Here is an 18,399-nt window from a genome sequence, read left to right on the forward strand (position 1 = left end):
TGGGCTGATATTTCACAAATTAAGAAGTAGAAATGGCTAGTAAGTACATGAAAAGGTGCCCAACAACATTAGTCACTAGGGAAGAGCAACTGTTTTCAGGTCCTTCTATTTAATATCTATCTCTTCTATAAGGATGTAGGCAGTTATATTCATCTGTTATTTACTATTGTGTGTGTATGTGTGTGACACAGGGTCTTGCTCTGTTACCCAGGCTGGAGTGCAGTGGTGCGACCTTGGCTCACTGCAACCTTGAGTTCCTGGGCTCAAGTGATCCTCCCACCTCAGCCACCTGAGTAGCTGAGCCACGGGTGCACGCCAGCATATTCTGCTTATTTTTTGTATTTTTTTGTAGAGATGGGGTTTCATTATGTTTCCAAGGCTGGTCTTAAACTCCTGAGCTCAAACAATCTGCCCACCTTGGCCTCTCAAAGTGCTGGGATTACAGGCATTAGCCACCATGACTGGCCTGTTATTTACCATTGTATCTCTCTAACCTAGTGAAGAAAGCCAAGAAATCTAAACATAATTTAAAAAGTAATAACCATAGGGCAGTAGAAAACGTACTTCACTTTCTATTAGATTTCCCAAGTTCCTGACATAGATTTGGTACTTACTGCTGCCTTTAGCAAATCACGTCACCTCTTTGAATGTGTTTCTTCACTTGTTTAATACTTTATCAGGCACTTTATTTAGTATTTTGAGGTCCAAATAGAAGAGTCTATTTGGAAGTGCTACATAAACTAAATACTATGCAAATATAGGATGACAATATTGCTGATAATTACAAATATAAGCCTCTAAGAGAGTAACACTAAGTCTTTGTAATCAACCGGTGGCAAGAAATAGGCATTTTATACCCTTTAAAATGAAAGATAAACATGTTATTCTTTTTAAATAGCTTCATTGAGATATAAAACACATACAATTCACCAATTTCATGTGTATAATTCAATGGTTTTTAGTATTTTCACACAGTTGTGCAACCATCACAACACATTTTAGAACATTTTAATAATCCCAGAAAAAACTCTGTGCCTTTTAGCAGTCACCCCTCACCCCTCATGGGCTCCCCAGCCCTAAGCAAACACTAATCTACTTTCCGTCTCTGTAGATTTGTCTATTCTGGACATTTCATATAAGGGGAATTATACAATGTGTTGTCTTTTGTGACTGGATTCTTTCATTCAGCATAATCTTCTCAAGGTTCATCCATTTGTAGAATGTATCAGTACTTCATTTTGCAGCACATAGTATTTCTTTGTATGTATTTGTCACGTTTCATTTATCAAGTCATCAATTGATGGTCATTTAGGTTGTTTCCACTTTTTTTGCTATTAAAAGTAATTCTGTTATTAACATTCATGTAGAAGTTTTTGTATGGATGTATGTTTTCATTTCTCTTGGATATATATCTAGAAGTGGAATTGTTGGGTTACTTGGTAATTTTATGTTTAACTTTTTGAGGAACTACTGGACTATTTTCCAAAGTGGCTGTACCATTTGACATTCCCACCAGCAGTGTGTGAAGGTTTCAGTTTCTCCACAACCTTGTCAACATTTGTTACTTTACTTTTCCTTTTTAAAATTTGGCCATCCTAGTAAGTGTGAAGTGGTATTTAATTGTGGTTTTGATTTGCTTTTCCATGATGGCTAATGATGTTGAGCATCTTTTCATGTACTTGCTTGTCATTTGTATATCCTCTTTGGAGACACAAAATATTTTGTCCAAAATATTCTTTTAACTGCTTCTTGTGTTGTCCTTAATATCAGTGAAACAAGACAGCAAATGATATTCATATTTCCAAGAAGTAGGTCTTCATCATGACTCACACTTTTTTTTTAATTGATAAACTTTATTTTTATTTTTAGAGCAATTTTAGGTTTACAGAAAATTGAGTAGACAGTACAAAGAGTACCCATATAATTTGTCCCTTACACACACACACACACACACACAAACACACACAAACACACACAATTTCCCATTATTATCTTGCCTTGGTCTGATACAGTTGTTACAAATGATAAACTAATATTGACACATCATTATTAACTGAAATCCATAGTCTACATTTGGGTTTACTCTTCGTGTTATACAGTTGTGTGAGTTTTGAAAGGTGCAAAATGTCATGTATCCACCATTACAGTACCATACCTCTTTTTCTTTATAAATTACCCAGTCTTGGATATATCTCTATCAGCAGCAAGAAAAGGGACTAATGCAGTAAATTGGTACCGGGTAGTGGGCCACTGCCATAAAGATACCCGAAATGCGAAAGCAAGTTTGAAACCTGTTGCTCCAGAAGGTGCAAGCCCCAAGCCTTGGCAGCTTCCACATGGTATTGAGCCTGCAGGTGCATAGAAGTCAAGAATTGAGGTTTGGGAGCCTCTGCCTAGATTTCAGAGGATGTATAGAAATGCCTGTATATCCAGGCAAAAGTTTGCTACAGGGGTGAAGCCCTCACAAAGAACCTCTGTTAGGGCAGTGTGGAAGGGAGAAGTGGGGTTGAAGCCCCCATAAAGAGTCCCCACTGGGGCACTGCCTAGTAGAGCCATGAGAAGAGGGCCACCACCCTTTAGACCTCAGAAAAGCTCCAGAGACTCAATGCCAGCCCATGAAGGCAGCCAGGAATGGGGCTGTACTCTGTAAAGCCACAGGGGCAGAACTGCCCAAGACCACGGGAACCCATCTTTTGCATTGGCGTGACCTGGATGTGAGATATGGAGTCAAAGGAGATCATTTGGGAGCTTTACGATTTGACTGCCCTGCTTGATTTCAGACTTGCATGTGGCCATTAGCCCCTTTATTTTGGCTAATTTCTCCCATTTGGAACAGCTGTATTTATCCAATGCCTGTTCTACCATTTATCTAGGAAGTAACTAACTTGCTTTTGATTTTACAGGCTCATAGGCAGAAGGGAATTGCCTTGTCTCAGATGAGACCTTGGACTGTGTACTTTTGAGTTAATGCTGAAATGGGTTAAGACTTTGGGGTACTGTTGGGAAGGCATGATTGGTTTTTAAAAATGAGGACATGAGGTTTGGGAGGAGCCAGGGGTAGAATGATATGGTTTGGTTTGGCTGTGTCCCCACTCAAATCTCATCTTAATTGTAGCTTCCATAATTCCCATGTGTTGTGGGAGGGACCCAGTGGGAGATAATTGAATCATGGGGTCAGTTTCCCCCATACTGTTCTCATGGTAGTGAATAAGTCTCGCAAGAGCTGAGGATTTTATAAGGGGTTTCCCCTTTTGCTTGGTTTTTTTTTTTATTCAGTTCTGGCTGCTGCCATTTAAGACATGCCTTTCACCTTCTGCCATGATTGTGAGGCCACCCCAGTCACATGGAACTGTGAGTGCTTTAAACTCTTTTTCTTTATAAATTACCTAGTCTCGAGTATGTCTTTATCAGCAGCATGAAAATGGACTTTATACAGCAGCTGTCCCACAAATGTTTTCTGTAACTATCTAACTGTGACAGTAACCAGAATTTTAGTGAGAGAACATGATTCTCCACCATGATAATGAACTCCAAGAACCAATGTAATTCAAACTTCACTCACTTCCCTTAATAATCAAAGGATAATTAACTTAAGTGCTTAAAAATGTAAGCTATGAATTTATGAATACATTTGTGCATTAATTTATACTTTTATTATATATTATTTGTTGGTTTAACAATTTTCCTGATTCAGTTCTTCACTTCTTTCAAACTATAAGAGATTCCTCCAGTTCTAGCATATAAGAGTTTAATAGTTTAATAGTTTTAAGTTTATCCTAACTTTACCTTTAGATACTAAACTCCTGGAGACTAGAATTTCTTTGTTCTGTATATTCACTCTGTGTCATAGTATGTTATGCCAAGCTATAAAGTAGTGGCCAGAGAAGGAATTCAAGGATTCCTCCAACTCCCATTTCACACTTGGCATATTTTGCAGGTGCTCCACACATACATAGTTAATGCAAGAATGACTAAATACCATGAGAGTATGTTTCTGGATAAGAGTCTGTGGGGAAAGAATTGAGAAGATGAAGGTTGAAGGAGAGAAGCAGACAGGAAGAGAAAACTGAGAAAAGAAGCAGGTAAAAAGACTATATGGTTTCTTGTTTTTTTCTTCCTCCTCCTCTTTTCCCCTCCTCTCCTTCCCTATCAAAACTCTATGTTCTGAAAATACAGTTTTCTAAAGCTCTTAGCTGTGACCTACCCTCATAAATAATTGACAATATGTGTGAAGACTGTGACTGAATCTTATGTTTGGCTTTCACCTGTTATATACACATAAAAATACAGGACCAAAATATATAAATGCACATTTATATATTAAACATAAAGGAACATAAATGCAATTCCCTGGCAAGATGGCCAAATAGGAACAGCTCCAGTCTGCAGCTCCCAGCAAGACCAACACAGAAGGAAGGTGATTTCTGCATTTCCAACTGAGGTACCCACTTCATCTCATTGGGACTGGTTAGACAGTGGGTGCAGCCCAGTGTTGTATCTGGGCCAGCAAGCACTATCCATCACAGCATAGTCCCTCATGGCTTCTCTTGGCTAGGGGAGGGAGTTCTCTGACCCCTTGCACTTCCTGGGTGAGGTGATGCCCCACCCTGCTTCTGCTCACCCCATCATCTCAGCCCCAAAACTCCTTAAGCTGATAGCAACTTCAGCAAAGTCTCAGGATACAAAATCAGAGTGCAAAAATCACAAGCATTCCTATACATCAATAATACACAAACACAGAGCCAAATCATGAGTAAACTCCCATTCACAATTGCTACAAAGAGAAAAAACCACCTAGGAATCCAACTTACAAGGGATGTGAAGGACTTCTTCCAGGAGAACTACAAACCATTGCTCAAGGAAATAAGAGAGGACACAAACAAGTGGAAAAACCTTCCATACTCATGAATAGGAAGAATCAATATTGTGAAAATGACCATACTGCCCAAAGTAATTTATACATTCAATGCTATGCTCATCAAGCTACCATTGACTTTCTTCACAGAAGTAGAAAAAACTACTTTAAATTTCATATTTCATATGGAAACAAAAAAGAGCCCATATAGTCAAGACAATCTAAGCAAAAAGAACAAAGCTGGAGGCATCACACTACCTGACTTCAAACTATACTACAAGGCTACAGTAACCAAAACAGCACGGTACTGGTACCAAAACAGATATATAGACCAATGGAACAGAACAGAGGCCTCAGAAATAACACCACACATTTACAACCATCTGTTCTTTGATAAACCTGACAAAAACAAGCAATGGGGAAAGGATTCCCTATTTAATAAATGGTGTTGGGATAATTGGCTAGCCATATTCATAAAACTGGACCCCTTACTTATACCTTAAACAAAAATTAACTCAAGATGGATTAAAGAGTTAAACGTAAGACCTAAAGCCATAAAAACCCTAGAAGAAAACCTAGGCAATACCATTCAGGACAAAGGCATGGGCAAAGACTTCATGTCTAAAACACCAAAATCAATTGCAACAAAAGCCAAAATTGACAAATGGGATCTAATTAAACTAAAGAGCTTCTGCACAGCAAAAGAAACTATCATCAGAGTGAACAGGCAACCTACAGAATGAGAGAAAATTTTTGCAATCTATCCATCTGACAAAGGGCGAATATCCAGAATCTACAAAGAACTTAAACAAATTTACAAGAAAAAAAACCCCCATCAAGAAGTGGGTGAAGGATATGAACAGACACTTTTCAAAAGAAGACATTTATGCAGCCAACAAAGATATGAAAAAACGCTCATCATCAGTGGTCATTAGAGAAATGCAAATCAAAACCACAACAAGATACTATTTCATGCCAGTTAGAATTATGATCATTAAAAAGTCAGAGAACAACTGATGCTAGAGAAGATGTGGAGAAATAGGAATGCTTTTACACTGTTGGTGGGAGTGTAAATTAGTTCAACCATTGTGGAAGACAGTGTGGCGATTCCTCAAGGATCTAGAATTAGAAATACCATTTGACCCAGCCATCCCATTACTGGATATGTACCCAAAGGATTATAAACCATTCTTCCATAAAGACACATGCACACGTATGTTTATTGCAGCACTATTCACAATAGCAAAAACTTGGAACGAACCCAAATGCCCGTCAGTGATAGACTAGAAAAAGAGAATGTGGCACATATACACCATGGAATACTATGCAGCCATAAAAAAGAATGAGTTCATGTCCTTTGCAGGGACATGGATGAAGCTGGAAACCATCATTCTCAGCAAACTAACACAGGAACAGAAAATCAAACACTGCATGTTCTCACTTATAAGTGGGAGGTGAATAATGAGAACATATGGGCACAGGGAGGGAAACATCACACACTGTGGTCTGTCGTGGGGAGTGGGGTAGGGGAGCGATATCATTAGGACAAATACCTAGTGTAGATGACAGGTTGATGGGTACAGCAAACCACCATGGCACATGTATACCTATATAACAAGCCTGCCCATTCTGCACATGTAAAAAAAAAAAGAAGAAGAAAAAAAGAAAAAAAAGTACATAAATACATCATACATTTATCCACCTAAACTCAGGCTAAAAGCTTAATAAATATTGAGGGAATGCATTAATCAAGCTGTGCTGCCAGAATCATAAGAATCATCATCTCTGACTTTCTAAGGTCAGAAACTTGATTTTACAAAATTACTTAGTAGACAGGCTCCAGAGAACTGAGTCATATAACTAATTCTTATAAAAGAATAACATGTGAATGTATATAGGTCAGGTTATGGGTATGAATATATAATATTGATTCAATAATTAATTATAGTAGCTTTTACTTGCTTATAGAAATGGGCAGATATATTTGGGAAGCACATTTATAGTTCATAATGTAGTTCAGTGTTCATTCAATTAGAGGTATTACATTATCTTAAGGTAATTTTTGTGATTAAGTATAGCTCTCTAGAGAACAAACACCATTTCCCTGAAATGGAGTTGGACTAGAATTTATATACACTTCCAGAGTTTGAGTCCCAGCTTCAAAAATTTCTCCAGTTCTTTCTTACTTTAGATTCACCAATGGTTAATATAAATGTAAAAATCTGTAATCATTACATTAATCAGTTACAGAGTTTACAATTTATGGACATTTAGGGAAATATGTTATATCCAAAGAAAGTAATTGTAAAAAAGTATGGTGTCAAGAAAGTCATTTTTTTTTGTTTTGCTTTTGATTTTCTTTTCTTTTGTCTTTTTTTTTTTTTGAGACAGGGTCTCACCATGTCACCCAGGTTCAAGAACAGTAGCATGATCATGGCTCACTGCAGCCTCAACCTCCCAGGCTCAAGTGACCCTCCAGCCTCAGTCTCCCAAGTACCCAGGATCACAGGTGCATGCTACCACGCCCAGCTAATTTTCTAGTTTTTTGTAGAGATGGGGTCTTGCTATGCTGTGGCTGGTCTCAAACTCCTGACCTCAAGAAATCCTCCCATCTTGGCCTCCCAAAGTGCTGGGATTACAGGTGTGAGCAACCATGCCTGGCCGAAGAAAGTCATTCTTTCATATTCTTTAACATCCTAACCTTTCTCATCTTTGCCTCTTGATATTGGGTATATCTTGCTTTTGTGGTCTGTAGCCCACACTATTCACTGCTTTCAAAGAAGAGGAAAAGAGGTAGGTTAGTCACTTAAAGTTTAGCCACTCTAGAAGAAACAATCACAGAAACTTATACTTTGTTTTTTCCAATGCTAGATTTGCTCTAGAGATAAAATACTTGTTAACATGGTGTAGGTATATGGAAAGATGAGTGATAAGAAGACTGACCTGTTCTATTGTCCTTTCCTGAATGTGAATATAATGATTAAATGATTACCTCTGTCCAAAAAGATAAGGTTACAAAGCAGAAATGGCTAGAATATTGGAGAAACATGTCTACCATGAAAATATTTTGAGGGGGAAGAGGCTCAATATACAACACAGAATAGTTTTGAGCAGAATACTGTACATTGGATATCTTAAGAGAGATGATTCTAGTACAAGAAAAACTATCAGTAGTTGTAAAATGAATTAGAGAAACAGCAAAATAAATCTTCAAACAATAAAATGTATTCTTTAGACTCTAAAATGTAGCTTTAATAAATGATTATTTATCATTAATAATCATTTATTATTTATTAATCATTTATTATGGTTACAGAAAAAATAGAAAGGCACTCTAAGGGGAAAACACTAAATCTAGATTTTCTGACGAGATTCATAATGACCTATAGAAATACACATTATTGGCTATTTTTCACTTTATTGAGTTTTTTTTGTTCTTTTCCTATCTATATTCCTATTTTCTTATCAATGACAGTGCCCTTTCTCCTCTTTATAAATAATTCTTTGTTGTTGTTAACCCCTGAGGAGGCACTTTAAAAGACAATGATGGGAACCAAATGATGTGTGGTTAAGGTGTCTAAATAACATTTTTTTAAGTGTAATTAGCTCCCTTTCTGAACTATGTAGCACAGTCTGAAGGAAGGAGGTTGATGGGGAGGGGCAAGTTCTTACTTGTCTGGAACAGATATATACAGAAAGATGTATATATTCTCTTCTCCAACCCACCCCCGCCACAAAATCACTCCAATTATGCCAGTTGTAGATTTATTTAATTTAACAAGCTCCCACATTCAGAGATGCCAAAAACCCTAGAATAATTATTCCCATCAATCACTTGTAGGTAAGTTTTAATTGCTTTGGGCGTATCTATTATTAGTTGAGATGTTTTACAAACCAGTTTTATGTAGGCAGCACAATATTTTTACAAGAAAACCAAACAAAGCCTTTGGGCATGTATTCTCCAGTTCAACAAAAGCCCCACCATTCTTTAGTGTCTGATACTCACCTCTTTTAACCATTATGCCTAATTGGTCTCTCATGGCAGGTGTCATGCCCTGTTTGAAGAATATTTTGCCCTGTTTGGAGAATAAAGCTAAGTTGGGCAGAGCCTGATATTTGAGGAGGGTAAGGTTAGGTGAGTGGTCATGAGTATACAACATAAAATACCAAAAAATGTCAAAAAATATAAATAGAAGATGGGATGGAAAGGGATCAGTAAAAGACTTTACTGACAATGTAATACTTTTGCCTACTTCAAAGCTGATCATATCATTCCTGCTTTTGTTGTCAAATGTATGATACTCAGGCAAGTCTGGAATACGAAAAACTTCAGGCTACCCTAGTTGAGACTCCTACAGTCATGGTATCCTGAGTTTAACTCAACAGGTCTCCATTTGGTCAACTAACTATCCCCAAATTTCCACAGGTAAAGAAGAGAGAAAAGCAGAGAAAGAGGAAAGAAACTGAGGGCTACGTTCCAGTTAGTGGCTACTGGTAGGAAAGTTGGACATTTATTCTTTTCTTCCCTTGCCATCTTATTTTGAGAAATCCAAATTCCAAGATGCAATAAATACACATGGGCACACACACACACTCACACATATAGTGCTCCAAACAAATATGGGTTAGCTAGAGACATATAAGACTGTTAATGAAAATGTTGGAATCAATTTGCATCAGTAATTTTAAGAGAATTCTTGGTTTGTTCGATTCAATTGTTTTGTTCTAAAGTATACCAAAAGGTCTTTTAATTTGAGAATCACATATTTTCATATCTATACTATCAATAATTTTAACTATAATCCATATTGACTCAATATTACAGATTCATGAAATCTACAGAATAACATATGTCACAAATAAATATATATCATTGAGAAAATAGCACGATTTAGGAAATATTTCTCCAAATTGTGTTCCATGGAGTATTGTTCCATGGAATGAATGATAACTTATGTTACACATACACACACACACATACATACACACACACACACACACACACACACTTTAATGATTAAACAGGACTGGCTACATAATTTTCAGGTCCCCATGAAAAATGAAACTATGAGTCCCCTCGTTAAAACATTATTATGAATTTCAAGATGGTGACTGCAGAGAATGAAACCAAGAATGGGTCTCTTCTTTTTTTTCCTTTTCTTTTCTTTTTTTTTTTTTTTTTTGAGATGGAGTCTTGCTGTTGCCCAGGCTGGAGTGTAGTGGCATGATCTCAGCTCACTGCAACCTTCGCCTCCTGGGTTCAAGCGATTCTCCTGCCTCAGCCTCCCAAGTAGCTGGGATTATAGGCGGCTGCCACCACGTCTGGCTAATTTTTGTATTTTTAATAGAGTCGGGGTTTCACCATGTTGGCCAGGCTGGTATCAAATTCCTGACCTCGTGATCCGCCTACCTAGGCCTCCCAAAGTGCTGGTATTACAGGCCTGAGCCACCACGCCCAGCCAAGAATGGGTCTCTTCTAAGCATGGGCCCTATGTGACTGCACAGGCTGCACACCCTTGAAACTAGCCTCGGTTAAATTGTTTAAGAAATGCTGGGTTAAAAAATGTCTAACAGATTTCTTTGCAACAAGACTTCTTATAGCCTTTTATATACTAATGTGCACTGTGAACCTTCAGGAGGTTCACATACTGTATAAAGGTCCTCAAATATATTTGACCAAAGCTCTTTTCAATTATTATTTTAGAAGGATCATCTTGTAGGACCAATGTTCCACAGAACACACATTGTAAAAGGCAGCTCAGGCTGTGCAAACAGGTTATAAAATCAATTTGTTAGTCATAAATCACTATATATTTCCCATTTTGTGGCATTTTCCCCATATTTGGAATGAGGTAACTAGAGATAACTATAGATGCAAATGGTGTGTATTCACTAAATATACTGTCCTTCACTATTTGGTCTTCTACCATTTGGATAGTCAACTCAGTGGCCAAACATCACAAACGTTTTCTGGGCCAGGGTACTAGAGATGGTCTGATTGAGACTGTATCACAAGCCAACTTATTTTTCCCCTTTATTTTGTCAATTCAGAGGAAGTAACATCCTTACTTACCATTACCCAGTTCCCAAGAAATGTTGTACTTTTTGCTGGCGCTGTACTTCAACAGACTCAGGGCACTAGAACTGTTCCAGGAGTTATTGGGATTACGACGCAGTGCATTTAGAGCAAATATCAGGTGGAGTCCAGAGCAATCAGCAAAGTTATAAAGTTTGTCTAGAGACCTGGCTGGGAAGAAGCAGAGAAAGGCTTGTAACTTTCAAATCAACATTCCAACAAAAGGAAAATAGTAGCTAATATAAAAAGCCTTTCTATGAGCTTCCCACTAATAAGGAATAACACAGACAGGCTTCTAAAAGGGACTATTACCTTTTGGTCTGGGTACATTTCAAGTTGACTTTAGAAAGCAGCAGACAGGGCTGGGCGCGGTGGCTCACGCCTGTAATCCCAGCACTTTGGGAGGCCGAGGTGGGCAGATCACCTAAGGTCGGGAGTTCGAGACCAGCCTGACCAACCTGGAGAAACCCCATCTCTACTAAAAATACAAAATTTGCTGGGCGTGGTGGTGTATGCCTGTAGTCCCAGCTACTCAGAAGGCTGAGGCAGGAGAATCGCTTGAACCTGGGAAGCTGAGGTTGTGGTGAGCCGAGATTGCACCATTGCACTCCAGCCTGGGCAACAAGAGCGAAACTCCGTCTCAAAAACAAAACAAAACAAAAAAACAAAACAAACAAAAAAAAACAAGCAGCAGAGAGAATTCCAGACAGAGGTTGCAAATTGGCAACCAAATCTAGTCCATCATATGTTTTATTTAACAAAGTTAAATTGCTGATGTTTGAAAATGGGAAGATTTCACAAAGTAGCTGAATTTCTTAATTTTCCTTGAAAAGTCAGACAATATGGCACTGCTAGGTCCATATTCCTACAGGACATAAGATGAATAATAGGGTACAAGGCCAGGAAGGATAACTGGCTGGTGAGTCTTGGAAAATAGCTCAGCCTAGTATGATTTCCAAAAATTTTCACTGAAGTCCAGATTTCTAATATTTCTGACAATGGAAATACTATGACCACTACTACAAATACGTTCATTGCCGGGCGTGGTGGCTCACGCCTGTAATTCCAGCACTTTGGGAGGCCGAGGCGGGTGGATCTCGAGGTCAGGAGATGGAGACCATCCTGGCTAACACGGTGAAACCCCGTCTCTGTTAAAAATACAAAAAATTAGCCAGGCGCGGTGGCGGCTGCCTGTAGTCCCAGCTACTCAGGAGGCTGAGGCAGGAGAATGGCGTGAACCTGGGAGACAGAGCTTGCGGTAAGCCGCGATTGCGCCACTGTACTCCAGCCTGGGTGACAGAGTGAGGCTCCGTCTCAAATAAATAAATAAAATAAAAAAAAGAAATATGTTCATTATCAGGTTGATACCAGATACCATCAACTCTATCACCATGTGTCTCCTATTTATCCCATTCCTTCATTTCTATTGCCACCATTCTTTTTCTGGCTGTCATTTACACTTGGATAACTTACTATAATCTCTGTACTTGCCTGTCTACTTCTAGATTCTTCCCATCCGGCCAATTCATCTTCCCCCAGTCACTCTCAGCCAGTTTTACTCAATCCTCAAAACCAGTGGATTTTCAAGACCATTTTCTTCCTTAATTCAAGGCTTCTACAACTCACCCATAATTTTCCCCTCAACTTTAGGCCTCCCTATTTCTCTTAATGAGTTCTTTGTTGATGTCAGCCAGTTTATTTGTTAGAGAACTCCTTGCCCCATTGACCTTTGCTCTCCTTATTTGTCATGCCCTTACTGCTTTTTAAAACATATCCATATTTTACTTGTCCTTTTACACAGTGTATCCCAAGGTATGGATAATATGACTTCAGGTAGTACACAGTTTTAAAAAGCTTCTTAGATTAATAATTATGTAGAAGAGTTTACGTTATCCTAGTAGCCGTTAAAGCTAATGCAGAGTTTCTCAAATGGGGTTCTGTGAAACACTAGGGTTCCACAAGAGGTCACCAGAGGTTCTGCAAGAGATGATGCAGAGTGTCCAAGTTACCCCATTAGCAATTTTGTTATAGATCTTTTAGTCCTTTAAAAAAGAACCATTATCATTGGGTTGAGTATTTTATCAGTTTTTGAAGCAGGATATAGGAAGACTGCCATTTTCATCTTCTTACATATATAAGAAAGTATTTCTTAAGAAGCACCAAGAACAAGGACAGAAATTGTCTCATTTCTGTCAACTTATATCATACTCTACCCAGAAATAAAATCGATGTCAACTTACATCATACTCTACCCAGAATTGAGTAATTGGGCAACAACAACAACAACAAAAGGAATAAATTTCACATTCAGGAAATACATTTAATTATTATTTTTAGTTCCAAAATAACAATTAAAATTAAAATGCATTTATAGCTTAGTAAAGTGATCATGAAACCAGTATATAATAATTTTATAATTATCTACATGCCATTAGGTAAAAAAATAATTTTTGTCAAAGTATCATATAAAATTGTATCATAGGCTATAATTTTATTCATATTGCTTTGATGTATAGTTTTACATGCTTTACTATTCAACATCATTAATACATTTTATATTCAAAATAATATTAAAGTAAATTCATAACCTTTATTTAAATTAAACCTAACAAACCTACCCTTAGAAAAATTTTATCCCATTGTGGCTTAAACTAGTTACTTAACAAAAACAAATTATGTTTGCCTTATAAGATTTTCAAATTTATGAAAAGGAAATGATGAAATTAATTTCAAGAAAGACAGATAACTACTCTTTTTTTTCTTTTCAATCATAGTTGTCTAAAATAGTTGTCCTATTTAGTTTTAAATAGGACTTGCATTTACCATACCTCAGTAGTATTGATACAACAGAAATTTGTGTTAAGACTTTGAGGCCCACTTGTATAAGATACAAAAAAAATCTAGTAGGATTTTTTTTTAAAAAGAAAAACTGAAGTTTCTTTTATCTATACCATTAGAATTGGTATCCTTTGTGGGGAGAGGGAAACAATGCAAAAAATAAATAGGTTAAGAAACTGGCCAAACTAAACAGATTCTAAGGAAAATATAACTCTCTATTTAACAGAACACTGGCAATATTGGATAATTATATATCTACAACTCAATAGTCATTCTAATATACTATGAGCTTTAGATATAATAACTTTTATCCAGAAGTTTCCTTGAGATTTGAGAATTATTATTCTAGGTTACTCAAAAAATAATTTGAGTATTATAAGATCAACAGAGGTCCATTTTTAAGTCCTCTATTATTCATGTCATGAAAGTTATATTATCATAAAAAATACTCAATATTCAATTAAATAACATTTTATTCATCCATAGTTTCAATGACATCTATTAAGCATGCAATAAAATTACTTATTTTCATAATTTTTGGTTTCATTTATATACTAAAATCCATATCAAATGTTTGCATCAAAATTTAATATGAATGACTGATATTCCTTTTGGATAGATTGATTCCATTTAAGTCATCTTTTTCTAAAACTATTTCCATATAATGAGTATTTTACTGTGTATGTTTCACATGTATTAGAAACACAAACACACATCAAACACAAAAGCATATCAAACCTTTGATTTCATGGATTTGATGGTTTAAGGCAAGGCAAAATGTATTTACAAAAAATGTGTCAACATAAAGAGCAGTATGGGAGAAACAGTATGGATAGTTTGTTCACATAGCAAAAATTGGGAACTAGAATGCTAAAAGTTTGGGAAATACTTCTTTAAGAATAAGTTTAAGTCCTGCCTCTTCCATGACGCCATTCCTGAACACACCAACCTCCCGAAAGTGATTTCGACTTTCTCTAAACTCAAGAGCTATACCATTTTTTGGCATCTCACTGCTCTGTGACATATTATCTGTGACATAATATTATCTTGGGATTTACTTCTTGATTTATTCACTTCTCCAGAGTGAACAACTTGTTTTCCCAGTTAAACTGTGAAGTTTCTTAAGTTTGGTACCGTATCTTATATCCTTCATAGCATCTAACACACAGCAATTTTCTGCCTTAATATCATGCCGAAGAGTTCTCAAGGCCCAAATCCTTTGTGTTGCATAAAAGTGGCCTATAAGAAGTAGAAAGAGGCAAAAGAGAGATCTGTCTAAAATAATTATTGCTAGGCTGGGCGCAATGGCTCACACCTGTAATCCCAGCACTTTGGGAGGCTGAGGTGGGTGAATCATCTGAAGTCAGGAGTTCGAGACCAGCCTAACCAACATAGTGAAACTGGTCTCTACCAAAAATACAAAAAAATTAGCTGGGTGTGGTGGCACATGCCTGTAATCCCAGCTACTCTACTTAGGAGGCTGAGGCAGGAGAATCGCTTGAACCTGGGAGGTGGAGATTGCAGTGAGCCAAGATCACACCATTGCACTCCAGCCTGGGTGACAAGAGTGAAAATCCGTCTCAAAAAATAATAATTATTGCTAATCTAAGACATATGTTCTACAGTTTATTAGAAAAGTACATATATTTGAATATAGAGAATTTAGTAGATATTCAACACATGTAATCTCCCTTAGAAAATTTGCTCAGGTTCCATCAAAACAAATAGATACTTAAAGATTACTTTCTACTCCCTCCACCAGAGGGGGCCAATGCCTCTATGTCTTATAGTCAGGGTGCATTGACATTTCACAGGCATATAATTCTAAGAAGCACTGGATAGTGGGCAGTTGAAGATGAGGAGCTGGGACTTGAGAAAGATGTAAAAGTATACAGGCTTGGGTGTCACTCAGTGCTGACAGTTGATGCTGTGAAAGTTCTTGAGATTTCTGAAGGGCAAAATGTAGAAAGATGGCTGAAGAGAAAACCTTAAGAAATGTCCACATATAAGGGTCATGGAGAACAACAACAACAACAAAAAGAGAAGAAGAAGAACCCAGATATGCAGTCTTAAGGAACCCAAAATAAGAGAGTTGCAAGGAGGTGCTGTTCCATAACAGTAGGTGTTCATGACAAACTGAGGAGGAAAAGGACTGAGAAAAAAAAAACCATTAGATTAATCAAACAGTGAGGTTAGAAATTAGATTTAGGTTGTGATGAGACCTTAAAGAATGAGTAGATGAACAAGGAATAGATTCTGATACATTCAGCTTACTTATTGAAGTTCTGTGGCAATAAAAAGAAGAAAAGAAACAAAATAGTAATGAGAGAAGAACCAGATTGTTTTTTTTAAATGCAAGATCCAAGGTAAGCTACTTCTTTAATAAAGTTAATCTCAGTTTTCTATTAGGAAAATGTAGATAAGGGTCAATGAATTCACACTAAGATATGAATGACAGATTATTTCTCTTAGTTTCCCTAGTACTTGACACTTTAAAAACCAAACAGACAAGCAATCCAACAAACAAAAAATTGGACATTCATTAACTTATTAAATTACTCAACAAATATTTATTAAGCAGTTACTACGTGACAGGCACTATTATACACCATATATATCTGTAAATATACACATATGCATGCATATATATCTATATATACAGATATACATGCGTGTATATCTGTACATATACATGCATATATATATCTGTTCTGTATATATACATATATGCATGCATATATACATATATACATGCATGTATATATACAGATATATATATGCATATATACATACATACAAGAAGATAGATATACATATATAAAAGAAGATTATATAGTATATAATAGTGCCAGCTTTATGATGGTGCAAAAGCAATACACACTCAGTAGAAATCGTACTTCAAATACACAACCATTTTGTTTTTCACTTTCAGTATAGTATTCAATAAATTACTTGAAATATTCAATACTTTATTATAAGATAGGCTTTCAGTTAGATGATTTTGCCCAACAGTAGGCTGATGTAAGTGTTCTGAGTGCATTTAAGGTAGGCCCGGCTAAGCTATGATGTTCAGTAGGTTAGGTGTATTAAATGCATTTTTGACTTACCATAGTTTCAACTTATGATGAGTTTATTGGGACATAACCTCATAAGTTGAGGAGCATCTGCATGTGTAATTTATATATTTTATATATATATATTAAACACTATATATATATATATATACACACACACTTACACACACATTTATATTGCAATGAGCAAAACAGAAAACAGGCCCTACCCTCATGGAGGTTACATTTAATGTGGCTGGCAGGAGAAGTAAAGCAGGGTAGGAGATAGTATAGAACCAATAGTAGCTAGTATGCTATTTTAAATAAGCATCACAATTAAGGTGTCATTTGATCAGAGACCCAATGGAAAGAAGGGAGCAAGTCAAGTAGATAACTATGGAAAGAATTCCAGGCAGAGGGTCCTACAGTAAGGGCAAAGGCCCAAGACTCATGTGAGACTGATGAATGTGAAGAACACTGAGAGGCTGGTGTAGCTGCCCCAGAATGAATGAGAGGGAGAGCAGTAGGAGATGAGATCACAGTGGTAGCAAGGACATGTCACGAAGGGCCTTACTGGTCATTATAAGAACTTTGGCTTTTGCCCTCATTGACATAGAAGCCATTAGATGGTTTTGAATATGACCCAACTCACACTGTGAAATCATCACTCTGGCTGCTGAGCTGAAGAGACTGAAGGGGATGGGAAGAGCAAGGGTGAAAGCAAGGAAATTAGGAGTCTATAGCAATAATTGAAGCAAGGGATCATTGTGGCTTGGACCAGGGTGGTAGCAGCAGAGCGGTAGAAGTGGTTGGTTTCTGGGGATGTTTTAAAGGTTGAGCCAGTAAGATTTGCTGAAGGATTGGAATGTGGTGTGTGAGAAAAAAAGAGTCAAGAAACTCTGAAGTTTTTGGCTTAAGCAACAGAAAGATAAACTTGATATTTATGAAGGAAGTGTGAAAGATTGGGAGAAGAGAGAAGAAGGCCAAGATGAGAATTTGGGCTTGGGGCATGTTAAGTTTGTAATGTCCTTAGATGTATAGGTAAATAATTTGAGTGGGCAGAATATGCAAATCCAGAGTTAAGCAGTGGGATGTGGATGGGAAGTATAAAGCTGATTAAGCAAAACATTTTCAAAGGTTGGGAGAGATAGAGAACCTTTTACTGGAAAGAAGAGAGACAGGAGCTGTCATAGGGATCTTCCAGTTTACAGATGCCAATGTCATTAAAGTAGCTTAGTTTCCATCCCAGCTCTTCCCCCTCCTCCCCTTAATGCTGAGCATCTACTTGAGTCTCACCTTCCTTGATTCCGTATTCAGAATTAACTTCCCACCTTTTTATCCTGTTTTTGTTACGTATTTCCCTCAAAGTCACAGCTACCTTACTTTCCCTCCATTATTTGACAGAGACGATTAACATTTTCTTCATGTTTTGTAAGCTACTATGCAAACAAAGCTTATAGACATGGCTCCAGCCCTCACTTTTCAAATTGATGGCCCCCTCTAAGCTCCTCTTCCATAGAAATGATGGAGCAACAACTGTTACCTGGGAATTAAATTGGCACAAATTTTATTAGACT

General features: G+C 37.1%; 1 protein-coding gene across 14 annotated transcripts in view; it reads right to left on the reverse strand.

The window, feature by feature from the left end:
* HPSE2 (heparanase 2 (inactive)) overlaps window positions 1–18,399 on the reverse strand; it is an 858,875-nt gene that overhangs the window by 275,878 nt on the left and 564,598 nt on the right. For 10 of the 14 annotated variants that reach the window (XM_047425614.1, XM_011540030.2, XM_011540029.1 and 7 more), the window contains one exon: window positions 10,929–11,102. The exons of 2 other annotated variants lie outside the window; for them this stretch is intronic. In XM_047425614.1, the coding sequence (XP_047281570.1) occupies window positions 10,929–11,102 (174 nt within the window). The remainder of the gene's footprint in view (window positions 1–10,928; window positions 11,103–18,399) is intronic. 2 more of the 14 variants (XM_017016498.2, XM_047425616.1) reach the window with 1 other exon arrangement.

This window comes from Homo sapiens, chromosome 10, assembly GCF_000001405.40.
Source record: "Homo sapiens chromosome 10, GRCh38.p14 Primary Assembly".
NCBI lineage: Eukaryota > Metazoa > Chordata > Mammalia > Primates > Hominidae > Homo > Homo sapiens.